The 15,248-nt window shown below is 37.4% G+C and overlaps 1 long non-coding RNA gene across 1 annotated transcript in view, besides 1 other annotated feature; it reads left to right on the top strand.

The window, feature by feature from the left end:
* The window catches only part of STXBP5-AS1 (STXBP5 antisense RNA 1), a 363,227-nt gene that overhangs the window by 242,603 nt on the left and 105,376 nt on the right, over nucleotides 1–15,248 (top strand). The window lies entirely within an intron of this gene.
* Nucleotides 11,385–11,679: an enhancer, noted in NCBI's record as "tiled region #4624; HepG2 Activating non-DNase unmatched - State 4:PromP". NCBI's record gives its function as "activates a minimal TATA promoter and a strong SV40 promoter by Sharpr-MPRA in HepG2 cells {active_cell/tissue: HepG2}" and the evidence as "EXISTENCE:reporter gene assay evidence [ECO:0000049][PMID:27701403]".

Here is a 15,248-nt window from a genome sequence, read left to right as displayed (position 1 = left end):
TATCATAAACTACTTGGATAGGAAGTTGTCTTGTTAGAACATGCCCCATGTTTCCATCATCTTGTCTTAATATTGATTACACCCAACAAAAAAGACAATAGCACTCACAAGTTTTCAGCATAATAGAGAAAATGTGGTGTCACCATTGTAATGGATCCGATGCATAGCTGGCCAAGTGTTAACCCTGCCTGGGGAATATATTTTCCCATGGACCAGGCATACTGCATGCTTTTCCCCATTTCTAATCAAGGGGATGTCTGTGATCATTAGATCTAAGTAGATAAACATATTGTCCTCAGATGCAGGGTTTCATGTCCTTCCTGGACTCATTTCTGCCCTTGTGTAAATTCACACAAAATGGTCTCCTTGGTTAATGCAACTTGCTGTATGTAAGGTTTTTCAGTGACTGCACATCATTGGGATTTTTCAACATTTAGGTAATTACAGATTCTTCTATAAAGGGGATGTGTTCACTTAATTTTTTTTTGTATTCAACTTTAAGAGGTACATGTGCAATTTTATTACATGCATAGATTTTATAGTGGTTAAAGTCAGAGTATGTAGGGTATCCATCATCTGAGTAAAACACATTGTACCCATTAACAACTTATCTTCATCCTCCCACCAACCCCTTACCCTTCTGAGTCTCCAGTGTCTATCACTCCACTCTCTACATCCACGTGAACAAATTTTTTTAGCTCCTACTTATGAGTGAGGACACGCAATGTTTGTCTTGCTGTGCCTGGCTTGTTTCATTTAAGATAATGACCTCCAGTTCCATCCATGTTGCTGCAAACAACATGATTTCATCCAGTTATGGCTGAATACTATTCCATTGTGTATATACACCACATTCTGTTTATCTATTCATCCACTGATGAACACTTAGGTTGATTCTGTATCTTTGCTATTGTGAATAGCACTGCAATACACATGCAATTGCAGGTGTCTTTTTGATATATTGATTTCTTTTCCCTTGGTTAGATACCGAGTAGTGGAATTGCTAGATCAAATGGTAGTTCTATTTTTATTTGAGAAATCTCCATACCTTTTTCCATAGAGGCTGTACTAATTTACATTATCACCAATGGTGTAAAAGAGTTCAGAAGTATTTTCTTTAAATCCTGCCCATCTAGCTACTGTGTAGGCCTAATTGACGTTTTCTCTTGATCCAAAATATATCCATCTTTATATTGCTTTGCTATTAACTTAAGAAGGAGGAAAATAATCTCACACTTATTTCTAGATAATTTATTCATTCATTTTTTAACAATGAATGCATATTTTGTAAAGACCTCTTCTATAATCCAGGCGCTGTTCTATGTGTTGGGGATGCAGTGGTGAGCAGAAATAACCATTCCTTACTTGTGAGGCTTAACATTTTAGTTGGGGACTCATGCTATGAACTTACTGTTCTGAATATTGCAATTATGTTAGTCTTCAGTGATTTGTAAACACAATAATCTGTGAGAATATTAATGGACACTGATTATTCAGAAGATAATTGGTTATCATGCCGAATGCCATTATTTATAATAATTATTGTTATTTATAAACTCCTAGTGTATGTGTGCATGTATCTGAGCATGTTTAAAAAGAACTGAACTGTGTGGCATGTGTCGTCAAGTACATTCACAGGAGTATGAATTTAGGTGAGGATTTTGTACAGTTATTAATTGCTAATGAATTCATCTCAGAAGTACAAATGATGCAATGCATATGTTTATATATATATGAGAACCATTAAGAGTTACATGAGTAACTTAATTAGTTGAGAAAAACAGTGGCTTGTAAATAATGAGTGAAGTGAAAATTAGCCAGCAAGAGTGCTAATATAGAAATTTTGTCTGTTTAGCTTCAACTTTACTGTTAGAAACCAAGAACTCAGTTTGCACAGTTTTCCCTCATAACTTCATTGGAATAACGGTTGGAGTCACTTGTGTCTTTTGCCATCCCAAGGGGAAGTCATTTTGCAGATGATAAAGTTATATTTAGACACTATGTAAATTTCTTCAAATTTTAGAGAAAAGGAAATTACCACCAGCCCAATTTAAAATAAAATGCCTTGACTTTGTATTTCTTGGGGAATGTCAAGTGGACTCTGAAACTGTAAATATCCACTGGCTGAACTTGGTAATTTAGCAAAACCACCCAGATAGATTCGTGTTAAAAACACCTTTCTTAAACTAAAAAACTGACTAGAATCACATTTATTCATGAATGTTATCACTAACTACTAATTCCTGCATTAACTTGTCTTGTGTGCACTGTGAAAAGTTCAACCTTAAAGGAAAAAAGGAAATTTCTGACTTTTATATGCATATGAGACAGTTGTTTAAAGGAGAAACATGTAAGCATCGGTGAGATTTTTTTAATAAAATGGCTAAGTTTGAGAATGTTTTCTTATGTCTCAATTGAAAATATAAAGCTCGCTTTGACTAAGCAAAGGCAAAGTCATGCAATCCTACGGGCTATAACCATTTAAATGTGGACTAGAAAAGAATATTTGTCTGAAATGAGTTATATAACAGAATATGTGATTGCAATTTTGATCCTTCTAAAATCTGTGCTTTTGGAGAAATGTGATTGTCAGAGTGAGTACAGTAACTCTCTACCTGTGATCCCAAGTTTCAAGGAAAATAGGTTGATAAGATTCAGTGACATTACAGGGGAAAGATCTGGTAGCTGTGATAATTATCCTGGCCATGCCCTTTGAAGATTAAGATGGGAATGGCAGCAACCATCAAATGAAAGGCTGGCAAAATTAAAATTGATGACCACATTACACTGAAGCTCATATATTATACTCAGTGAAAGGAACCATGCCATACAAATAAGAGAGCCGCAATTTCTTCTCATTCCTAATTATATCTCTTTTTTCCATCTGTTTCTATTCCAGCACCTTAACTCATTCTAGTAGAGAAAGAGATAAGTTTCTTTAGGATTTAGGAGCCAATTTTAGTGCTTTTTAATGTAAAAAATGTAATACAAATATGAAATAAATTCTACCATTTTTGACTGAAGGGTCACAAGGCCACTGGAAATATGAGGTTGTGAAGGTTAGTGCCATATATGGAGAAAATATGGTTCTTGATCCAAGACACTGATGTGAGATTTCAGACTTTGATATGCCAAACACTGTCCCTAGGCACTGACAGGTTTGGGACCCACAAGAAATTAACCCTTTATTCAAGGTTGGAAACATGAAGTCAAATGGTTTCACCTCAGGAAGGAACCGTATTTTTTTCCAAGTCCAAAGCCAGTAAATAGATGGATAGACAAGGTGCTTTCAAGTTGTAATCAACAGGATTACACAGTGGAGAGTACTTACTGGGGAAGCGAGGGCCACTTTAGTTTGAGGTCAATGAAAAGTAAGCCTGTGATGAACTAGTAGCAGGGAAAATGAGAAACTCAATACATTGTCTTTGGTTGATGCTGTGACAGAATGTGTTGCTACAGAGATCTGCCTGTGGAAGATCAGGGTGCTGTGTGTGCTGTTTACTATGATTTTCCACAGGGAAGTACTCCGTTCTTAACCTCCATTCAACAAACATTTGCCCCACAAACACACATACTTATTTTATACATTTTGATGATTGTTTTCTATTTCCATTCCTCATTTCTCTTTTCCTTCTGGGATTTTTAAACTATCAAACCTGGCCTCTTTAGCTTCCCTTTCCAATAAAGCCTATATTAGTTGTATGTATTATTGGAGAATAACCTCATCGTTTTTGCTTGGAATACTTCTTCTTGCAACCTGATATACCAGGACTCTCCCGATTGGTTTAGTTAGGACATGGCCACCTTCCCTCTAGACTGCCACAACTCTTTGCCAACTCCTCTGTTATGGCACTTAACGCAATTGGTTGAAATTCTCTGTTTACGTTCCTGTTTCTCTAACTAGACTATAAGCCCTTTGAGAGTAGGGAACTTCTCACCAACGCCTGGTTCAGTAGCATGTAGTGGGTTCTAAATAAATATTAACTGTGTACTGGCTAAAATTTTTATATTCACTGAATAAAAGAATGAATGAATATAAGAAAGGTTGATTGTATAACAGCACTAGGGCTATGCTGATTAACCTAATTAGCTGAACTCCCTTAGGGCTAGGATATTCATAAGGAATTGATAGCACATTTTTCAACCACGTAATCTGCTTAGAAAAGCTGAGGAATAAAAGCAACAAATCAATACTTGAGAAGAGTCCGAAGGCTAATATTTTCTGATGCTTAAATGCATGAAAACCTAAGTCAGAAGAAAAATTAGAAAATTACAGAATGGAAGTGACCTTAGAAAACATTTAGACAAACTTCCAGAAAGAATATAAATTAACTATCCTAAGGCCTCACGTGTGGTTATTGGCAGAGGGCCAAAATTCAAGTCTCTAAACTCCCAGTCCTGGGCAGTTTTCTCTATTCTTACTGCTGTGACAACTCCATTTCAAATGCTTATGCATCCAGCATGAAATGCAGATAATGTGTTTCTCTTGTTTTTTGCTCTCACTGAATAATTTTCAGCAGCTCCTCTGATTGCTTTTTTTTTTTTTTTTTTTTTTTTTTGCTGTGCCCTGCTGTGTTCACCCTTACAGAGGACATCTGGTCATGTAGCAAAGAGAATTATTCAGTACGTTTTTCCAATATCCCCTCAGTCAATCAGTCAACAAGTTATTTATTGAGCACTTGCTGATGTGAGCAACACAGGGCTAATATGATAGAGTTGGCTGCTTTTAAACTCAATGCATCAATTAAATAACACTGCATGATTTTGACTTGGCATACCTCAAAGGACAATATTTTCCAAGGCCACTGTGAACTCTGTAATGGGAAGCTCACCCACTAATTTCACATGGAATCATGCATTTTGGCCTCATCCCCAGTGTAAGCTTAAAGGCCGTCAGATACAAAACATTCAAGACCAAATTCTGTCCTCAGGTGTTCAAAGACCTTGCTCATCTGGTCTTTACATATTATGACTGAGAATGAACACCCAGAAAGCAAATAGAGTTGGCTGCTTTTAAACTCAATGCATCAATTAAATAACACTTTGCATGATTTTGACTTGGCATACCTCAAAGGACAATATTTTTCAAGACCACTGTGAACTCTGTAATGGGAAGCTTACCCACTAATTTCACATGGAATCATGCATTTTGGCCTCATCCCCAGTGTAAGCTTAAAGACTGTCAGATACAAAGCATTCAAGACCAAATTCTGTCCTCAGGTGTTCAAAGACCTTGTTCATCTGGTCTTTACATATTATGACTGAGAATGAACACCCAGAAAGCAGTAGAATAAGAAGGACATTTCTTTTTTCAACATGAAGTTTTGAATGTTTTCATAAATTTTGGATTAGAGACCAGGATACAGTGGGAGTAAGAATGACCACTGGGAGTTTGTGACAATGCTTGCTGACACTTTGTCATCCGAATACTCTACCCTCTGTGACTCAGGCTTCAATGGACATATAAAGAGATTAATTAAACCTTTTGGAAAGAGGGGTTTCTGGTAACTCAACTCATTAATTCACACTGCTCAGTGCACTGGGCCTGAGGAGGTGGTTGGCTTGGGAGGAGTGGTGATGTAGGGCCGTGACCACATCACAAGCCACAGGTGACTCTGGAATCTGAATAATTCTTGGGGCCACCCTGGCATTTGGCACAAGATGGGAAAGCCAAATTTTCACATGGGTGTTCTCTTCTAGTTCAGTGGACAACATTTGAGAATGAACTCAACCCAGGATAGTGTTGCCAGATAAAATATAAGACACTCAGTGAAATTTGAATTTCAGGTAAACCACAAATAATTTCTTAGTCTAAGTATGTCTAAAATATTGCATTGGACTATGTATTTTTAAAAATTATGTTAAAATTTAGGTTTACTTGTAATTCAGATTTACCTGGGTATCTTGCATTTTTTATTTGCTAAATCTGGCAATCTTAAATCAGAACTTTCTCTCTGTCAGTTACATTATAAGCAAGAAGCAGCTTAGGGTGTTACTGTGAGACTTTCTGTGGATTCCATCTTGCATAGCTCTGTAAATTAGTCCTAACTCATCTGGCAGTACAAGTTTAGCAAGGGCAACTCTTGGTCAACACTTGGATGGGACACTACCTGGAAAAAGCTTTAGGGGCATTACTGCACACTGGTTAATAATGTGAGTTTGGAGTCAAGTGACATGAGTTTGAAACCTGACTTTGCACTGCTAGTTATGTAACTTAGGGCCAATTACTTAACCTTCCTGTACCTCAGCTGCTTCATCTGTGAAATGGGGATAATGGTATCTAATCTAAAGTTGTAAGGATTAATGGAGAAGTACACATAAGGTGCTTGGCAATATCACAAAAACTATGTAAATATTATTTTTGCTTGTGAGATCCAGATAAACTTCTGGATATATTTTTACTTATTGTAAAAGTTAATTAGACTGCTTATATTAACATTAAACTCAAGTCACCAATTTTAAATTAATTCATTGCATAAAAGGGTTTAACTTAATCATATGTTCCTGAGTATCTGCTTAATCAAACCATGCTATAACTATTTTAATTGCATGACTCTGTACACAGAACCACTGGAGTCTCCATGTTATTCAGGTTTGTCAATTTCTACTGTAATATCACACCAGGGGAATGAGAATGTTCCATGAAAAAGATCCAGGGAAAATTAAAAACTTTTAAAATTATTTTTAACGTAAGTAAAGCAATATCAAAAGTAAATGTCTCCATGAAGTCCAGGTACAGTTTACATTAAATATGTCTGTTCTGAAAAGAGCAGTCTCCTGAATTCATGGAGAAAATGTGTGATGATTCTATCAATATGAGATGAGAAAATAGAAAATATGAGATAATGAGTTCAAGAGCTTTTAATGAGGAAAAGAGACTAAAAATTTGCTGAGCAAGAAAACTCTATCATGCCATTAAATGGCAAAGTATAAATATAATTTAGAATTCCATCTTTGGTCTATGAAAGAAGACTCATTCCACCCAATCTCTTAGTTTTTAATCAGCCAGACATAGTAAATTTTTTCAGCTTCAATTGAAACATAAATGAAAATATAATACCATTTACATATAAATGAAATTATATCCAGTTACAGAGTAATTTCTACTTGAAATTGGAGAAAACAATAATGTATTTCAAAAGGTCTGGAAAAGGGAATTTTGAAAAAGACCTACTCGGAATTGAAAACCCATTGACCAACGCCAGCTGCGTCTATAGGCCTGGTGTCCAATGCCTCCAGGGTTCATGCTGTTTTTCTGGACTTGGCCCCTTGTGAGTCTGTGGGTGCACTATTCCCAGAGAAACTTCAGTTCTTACACACATCTTTTCAGCAATGGCATTTGCAAAGGGCCTCTCAGAGCCATGAAAGGGGCATATTCAAGCCCTGACACCCAGGGAAGGATCCCTAGTGTAATGATTCTTCTGGGATGGGGCTAGGTTTCCTGGTGCTACTGTAAGAGCTTCCAGGGAAATATACAGAGACCCTGGGGTAGTCCTTCAACTCTTGCAGAGGAGCCTTCAAATGCTAGCCTCATTGCTGATGAGCAAAGGGGCAGAGTTGCTAGGATGAGGTGAGGAGATCGAGACCATCCTGGCTAACATGGTGAAACCTCGTCTCTACTAAAAAATACAAAAAATTAGCCGGGCGTGGTGGTGGGTGCCTGTAGTCCCAGCTACTTAGGAGGCTGAGCAGAATGGCTGAATCTGGGAGACGGAGCTTGCAGCGAGTGGAGATCGCGCCACTGCACTCCAGCCTGGGTGACAGAGCGAGACTCTGTCTCAAAAAAAAAAAAAAGAGGGATACAATTGAGATCAATACATATAACGTACGGTACATAGCATCACATAGAAGGACTCATTGAGCATTTGCCTGTTCACATGGCTGGGCAGAATTCTTGCTCTCACTCAGGTCTCAGGGCCTTTGTCCTGTACTCCACAGAGGGATTGTGCAGGCCTTTGTTTTCCATTGGAATTAATTTGAATTCTTTACCTAAGTGGTACCTGATATGCTTCAACCCAGTTCTTGAAAACAAAACAAACGTGTATGTAAAGCTTCTTTGGAACTTTGAGTAAGAAATTTGGCCTATTTTTAAGTGCCAAGAGGGAAAAAGATGAATACTTAATGGATTCCATGGCTTTTTGTGAGTTGTGTTGTTTGGAATAAATTGAAAAAAGTTTTAAGCAAGCTGTTATGGCTTATAACTGGATAAATGTAGCAATCTAATATCCTGTTTTATCCAGGTTCATAGGAAGTGAAGATGGTTTCCTATCTGCTGATACTCTCTGGAAAACTCAAACCACTTTATTATTAATTTTTCCAAGGCAGCTATACATATACTTGCTTGTGATCCTGTACTTAAGCCTAGTCTTTGGTAAGCAGGTATGCAAAGATGACTAAAGTAAGTGGCAAATACAGCAGGTGAGAAAGCTAGAACAAGAGCAGTGTGGACTAGCAGAGAATCCAGGAAGAACTAAAGCTTACATGGATGTCCATAGTGAAAAGCCACAGGAGATGGCCACCTGAACCCAATGCATCTCTTATAATTAATTTCAAATAAGAATGTTAGAAAACACATTTCTGTTCTCTGGAACAATGCTATATTGGACGAAGCTAGCCAACAAATCTGTTAATAATTATAAAATACCTGAAGCACTTTTTATTTGCAATAAAACATATACAAATGCTTTGTATTATTTTAACCAATAAAAAGGAAAGAATTTAAATAGATTTTTATGTACCCTGATATTTAAACCTACTCACACTGCTAATTTGGACCTCAAATTTTGACTTGAAACTCAGTCTTCATTTTTTCTTTTTTGACCTCTATGTAACTTCCTCTTTGGTCTACATCTCTCCTGGTTTATGAGGCAGAGTTTCAGACAGATGACCTGAGCTGGCAGATCTGCTTAATGTGGTCCTGTAAGGTGAGGACTTTATGTTAAGGGACTGTGGAGTAAAAGATAATTAGGAGGAATTGCTTAGCAACTGGGAATAGAGGTGAGTGAAACCTCATCTGACAGATGAGGGAACTCAGAGCAATTTCAATCAAAATGCTAAAGGGAAATTTTTGGTTTGTTTGGTCTTAAAGTGATCCTGGATTTAAAAAAAAAAGAAAAAATAGTGAAAACAGCCAATATTTTTTTTAAATCAGGATTTCCATTGTCATATATTAAAACATATAATAAAATTTTAATGAAGACTGTGACATTGACCTAAGAAAAGACAGAACAATGGAACAGAATAGAAAGCCTAGAGCCTGATGTTTATGAAATGTTACTATATGATAAATATGAGTTGCTAAACAATGACAAAATGACACATCATTAATACATGGTACGGCAAGAATTAATTACCATTCAGAGAATAATTAATTCTAAAACCTCATGTCCTTTATCAAAATACAATACAAATGAAAAATTGACTCAAAAAGAGTAAAAATATAAACAAATGAAAAAATAGCTGGATATTTTTGGGATAAAGTATATATCCACCCCTTCCAAAAATCATAGATGATTTCTCCCTGAAGTTTCATAAAACAATAGCTGCCGTACATAAAATAAAAAGATCTCTTTAACACATAGATTTTGTAAATTAATGAGAAAATGAATATAATTTTCCATAAAGGCAGAAACCAATAAGCTATCTGTCTCTCAGGCCTCCCCCCACCTCCACATGTTCTTTTTCCTCAATCTAGCCCACTGTCTGGCACATTATAAACACTCAATATAAATGTGTTGAATGAACAAATGAATTATTGAAAAAGATAAATATCCCACTAGAAAAAAGATAGTTTGAAGAGCAGTTACAAAAGAAATATAATAATTTATAAACATAAGAATCTCTAACCTCACTAGTAACCAAAGAAGTGCAAATTAAAATGCAATAAGATAGCATTGCCTGCCCTTCAAATTAGTAAATGTTCATACAGTTTAATGCTCAGTGTTTGAAGAGAATGATAAAAGAGATGGCAAAATTATAAATTATTATCAGCTTTTTAGAGGTTTAATTATATATATCAAAAACTGTAAAGTATCTTTATCTTTTGATTAAGAAATATATTTTAATGTAATTATTAGAGCTATTCAAGAAGGTTTGGGAGTAAAGTTATGCATTGCTTTATTTTTTGAAGATTGGACTTGATCTGTATGTCCATACTGTAGGGTTATTTAAAATAATTGCAATGCATGAATAATGAAATAATAAGCAGCTATTAAAATTGAGTTTTAGAGATTATTTAGTGTTATGAGGAAATGATTAGGGCAGATAATGCAAAAATAGCAAGTTAAAAATAAATTTTAATTCTCGAATGTTGTTTTCATTGTGTTGACTATATCATAAAATTATAATAATGAGTGGATTCAGTTCCGTGAATTCCCTGAGATCCAAGGGAGGCAATATGTACAACCTTGCCCTATCCGTTTTTAAAAATTATGTTTCATAGGGAAAGATTGTTTAGGCATATGTATACACAGAAGAGTGGTTTCCTGTATGAAGTGGGGCCAATGCGGATTTTATCTATTTAATATTCTGATGTATTTTTTAAAAAATCATCTTATAAGTTGAATTACCTTTATATTCAGAAAAAAGCATATTTTAAATAAAAAATTGAGTTCCTCTAGGTTGTTTAAATGCTCAGTGAAAGGTTGAAGAATCTTCCAGAAAGAAGAAAGGAGCCTCAGAGACAGAGACCTGTCTCCCCAGAGGAGATGGAGACAGAGTGGAGCCTGACTGCCTGGAGTCGTTCTGCTGGGAGAAAGCCTGGTTGCTGTGGCACATGCGTGGCAGGCTGGAAATGATACCCTGTGGGTATGGTGCTCTGTTCTGCATTAATTCAGGCTCCAGGCTCCCTACATCTCCTGTAAGGACCAGGGGAGCAGGCAGCTGCAGGAGAAGGGGGATGCGGGGGGCCATGGGATTACAAATTCTCACAGCAGCCGAGCCCAGGCAGAGAAACCCTCCCTGTGAAGTGAGTTGAATAGTGTCCTTCCCCCATACCCCCTAAAAACTGACGTCCACTTGGAACCTCAGAATGAGAACTTATTGGGAAATAGGGATTTTTGCAGATGTAATGATTTGAGGATGTCAGGGTTAAAATGATCAGACTGGTGTCTTTATAAGAGGAAAGTGAGGAAGGTTGGGACACAGAGGCACACAGCATAGAAGGCCAGGTGAAGATGGTGGCAGAGGTTGGAGTGATGATGCTGCCTCAAGCTAAGGGACACCGGGAGCCACTTGAAGCCGGAAGAGGCAAGGCAGGATTCCCCGCTAGAGCTTTCAGAGGAGGCGTGGCCCTGCCAACACCTTGATTTCAGACTTTTGGCCTCTAAAATTGTGAGAGAATAACTTTCTGTTTTGTTAAAGTCGTCCAAGTTGTGATAATTTGTTTAGACACACGCAGGAAACTAATACAGCCTGGTGAGATGATAAGGCTGGGTAAAGTCCAGGAAACAAAGGGGCTTTCCAGTGCTTTTTAGTGGCAAAGTTCCTCATCACTATGGTTGTGAAACAGGACAGCTCTATCCAGGAAACTTGCTCTGACTTCCTGTCTGGTGTCGGTAGCAGGTGATTGATATCTTCCTTGTAAGTCATGAGTCTTAAATTGAGTGGTGCCTCCATTTAAGAAAAGGAGGTTAGTGCATATTTCTGAGTGCTTGCTTCTTGAATGAATTTGAGAGATATTCACTAGAGACATTGAAGTAGGTACTAGTCACAGACAGTGACCTCATGGCGTTTTAGCAAAAGGAGAACGAGTTCTGTGAATTTTGGTAAAGTGCTTTTATGTGGCCTGTTGGAAAAGGCAAAGGAGAAATCTCTGTTTTTTTTGTTTTTTGTTTTTTGTTTTTTGTTTTTTTGGCTAAACTGGGCTGTGAAATCCAAGTCTGAGATTCACTGGCCTCTTGTGAAGCTCTCCGACAAGGCATGGAGGTTTCCAGGAGGGAAAAACCCTCCCTCCTCCTATGTTAGAAGATGACTTTCCACGCAATTCTTAGTAATTTAGACAGAAGAGAGGCTGTGGAGGAATTCTTCTTTCTCTGGCACTGTTCTTGCCATCTCTCACAGGTAAATTCCCAAAGAAGACCTGAGGTATATGTTGGATGATAAACAATTCAAGCAAAATGAGATTTCAGAAAATTCTGATGTCCATATTTAAGGTTCATCACCTTTAAAAAATTCTTAGTGATGAACACTGTTTATAGTGTATCAGGGAACAGTGTGAACCTGTAGCTTTGTAGGGTATTCACTGATGCCAAATGAATCCTGTGGCTGGTAGCTTATTTATGGCTGTGCTATCATCTGAAGCAGAACACAGAGAAGCAGCTATTGCTGATTTAGTTATTAGACATAAGAACAAAGGGTTAGGAGCTTCTAGGGCATTATTCATTGACAATAATCCACAGCCTGCTATGAACAATGCTGCATGCTGTGCAAATATAGCAAGAGTGCCTTCATAAATAATGCCAGAAACACTAGTGGTGCCAAGGCAGATAGAATATATCGATGGCAAGTTAATGTGTTAGGCCCCTGGGTTTGCTTAATTATATAGGCTGTTTTACCATAGGCAAATGAAGAAAATTGCCTTAGCTAAACGCAGATTTGGGAATCCATAATCCTGTCTCTCTTCCCTACCCCCAGGTTTAAGATAGATCCTTCTAATAATGATGCAATTTGCTTGGCTCCCCCTGAATTCTATATTCTTACAAGACCCAGTGCTGTTGTTCTCATTTTGGTGATGAGAATGGAATGTGTTTTTTCTTCTTGTAATTATCTTCTACAAGCAACCAAAATGGATTTTGAGCTTGTCCAAAGATGTCAACATCTGCTTATTTTCAGGCTGTTTGTCTGCATAGGAGGTAGTAGTCTAAATCTATTTCTCAATTTATGCAAAATTGCATCACCCACACATTCAGGCCATATTCCTGAGATGGGAAAATGGGAGATAAGTTTACTTATAGGGAATTTCTCTCTAGAATGTGATCATGTAGCACGTATTTAAAAGATAAGAGAGAGAGTTTTCATGGGGTTGCATAAGACAAAGGTGAATTGTTCTCAGAATCATACCAAATGACAAGGTGGTAGGCAGAATAATGGCCCCCTACAGATGTTCACATCCTAATCCCTGGAGCCTGTGAATATGTTACGTTACATCACAAATGACATTTTGCGGCTGTTATTAAATTCAGTATCTTGAGATGGAGAGGTTATCCTGGATTATCTGGATGAGCCCAGTATAATTATGATGGTCTTTATAAATAGAAGAGGGAGGCAGGCCAGTTAGTGTTAGACTGATGCACCATGAGACTCAACTGGCCATGGCCGAGTTTGAAGGTAGGCACGAGGCTACAACACAAGGAATGTAGGCAGCATATAGAAGCTAAGAAAGGCAATGTATCTTGGCTGACACTTTGATTTTAGCTGAGTGAGACTCATGTCAGACTTCTGACCATCAGAACTGTCAGATAATAAATGTGTGTTGTTTTAAGCCATCACATTTGTATTTTTTTACAGCAGGATTGGAACTAATACAGAAAATAATAAGTAACTCATACCATCACCTCTGTCTTAGTCTGTTTAGTGTTGCCATAAAGAAATACCTGAGGCTAGATAATCTATAAGGAAAAGAGGTTTATTTGGTTCATGGCTCTGCAGGCTGTATGAGAAGCTTGGAATTTTACAAGAGGCATCTGCTTCTAGAGAGGGCCTCAGGCTGCTTTCATATATGGCAGAAGATGAAGGGGGGCCAGTGTATGCACAGATCACATGACGAGAGACGAAGCACCTCCACTTCTGAATGGGAGGTACCAGACTCTTTAACAATCAGCTCTTTCAGGAACTAATAAAGTAAGAACTCACCCCCAAGGGGAAGGCATCAATCTATTCATGAGGGACCTGCTCCCATGACCCAATTACCTCCCCTTGACTCCCACTTCCAACACTGAGGATCAATTTCAGCATGAGGTTTGGGAGACAAAAATCTAAACTATAGCAACCACTATGAAGAAGATGATCTGGTTGAGTTATTCAGTTACATTAAGGGATTTTTTAACTAAGTGATTACTACATACCAAGCATTGTGCTTTTGCATTGGTGATATATCAGCAAATGACATATGAACATTCCTTTATTCTCAAAATAGTATTGAGTTTCTACCATTTGCAAGGTACTGTTCCAGGAGAAACGTGGGTAAGATAAGATAAGAAAGATGAGATTCCTGCCCTTACTTAGCTTATGCTCTTGTATAGGAGAAAACAAATAATAAGCAAGTGAATAAATAAGGTAATTACAAGTTGTGTTTAGTGCTATAGAGAAAATTACATAAGGCTAGGTGATAGAGGTTAAATGAAGGAAATCTCCCTTAGGTCAGTGGCATAGGGAAAGCCTCTATGAGAAGAAGAAGTGAAGGGCAAGAAGGAGGCAGCCCTAATAAGCTCAGATGTGGAATGTCCCAGGCTTAAGGGAAAGAAAGGAAAGGCAAAAGCCTAGAGATGAGCATGAGCTTAGGGAACAAGAAGAACTGAAGGTCAGTGTGAAAGGGGAGTAGTGTGCATCGTGGAGAGACTGGTAAAAGATCACTCGGGGCCATGTTAAGGAATCTGGCCTACAAAGAATAAAAATGGTTCTAAGAGAAATGGGTAGGCAATGAAGGCATTTAAGCAGAGTGGCATGATGCAATGGATGTTACACTGTATTGGATGGCCTTGAAATAATTTAAAGTGCTTTTATGGTATTATTTGAATTTTGAACCTAAAGTGAATTTAGTTATCATTAGCTACATTATTTTTTTCTTAATGGAAACTGGTGCCCACACTGGTTGATTCACTTGTGTAGGACACAGATCTCTTTGTGTGTGTCTCTAGTTGCTACTGTTTTTATTGTGCTGCCTGCCCAACATGTGTGCTCGGTTTCACTAGTTTTTCTTTAGTATTGATTATTCTCTCTTTTTTCCCCCCTTTTTAAATAAAATCAGTTGGGAACCAAGATCTGCTTTATAGGGACTAAAGAAGTTCACAACTACTGGAACTGGACTCGAATTAGAAAGAAAGAGTCCATGAGAAATAGAATCTCTACTGTCCTCTTTGTGAACTTATACTCATGAATGACTTACTGTAGTTCATTCATATTGTTTTATGAAATAAGTTATTTCTAGTAACAACCTGCATAACCTTTTGATTTTTTTTTCTTTTTATTTGACAAAGAGAGAAAAGGATAGCACTGAAAATTGGAGGGTTGGCTGTTGCTAGGCACTAAGC

The sequence above is a fragment of the Homo sapiens genome, chromosome 6 (assembly GCF_000001405.40).
Source record: "Homo sapiens chromosome 6, GRCh38.p14 Primary Assembly".
Lineage (NCBI taxonomy): Eukaryota > Metazoa > Chordata > Mammalia > Primates > Hominidae > Homo > Homo sapiens.
The sequence above is the reverse complement of the archived record's forward strand: the minus strand, read 5'-3'. Positions and strand labels throughout refer to the sequence as shown.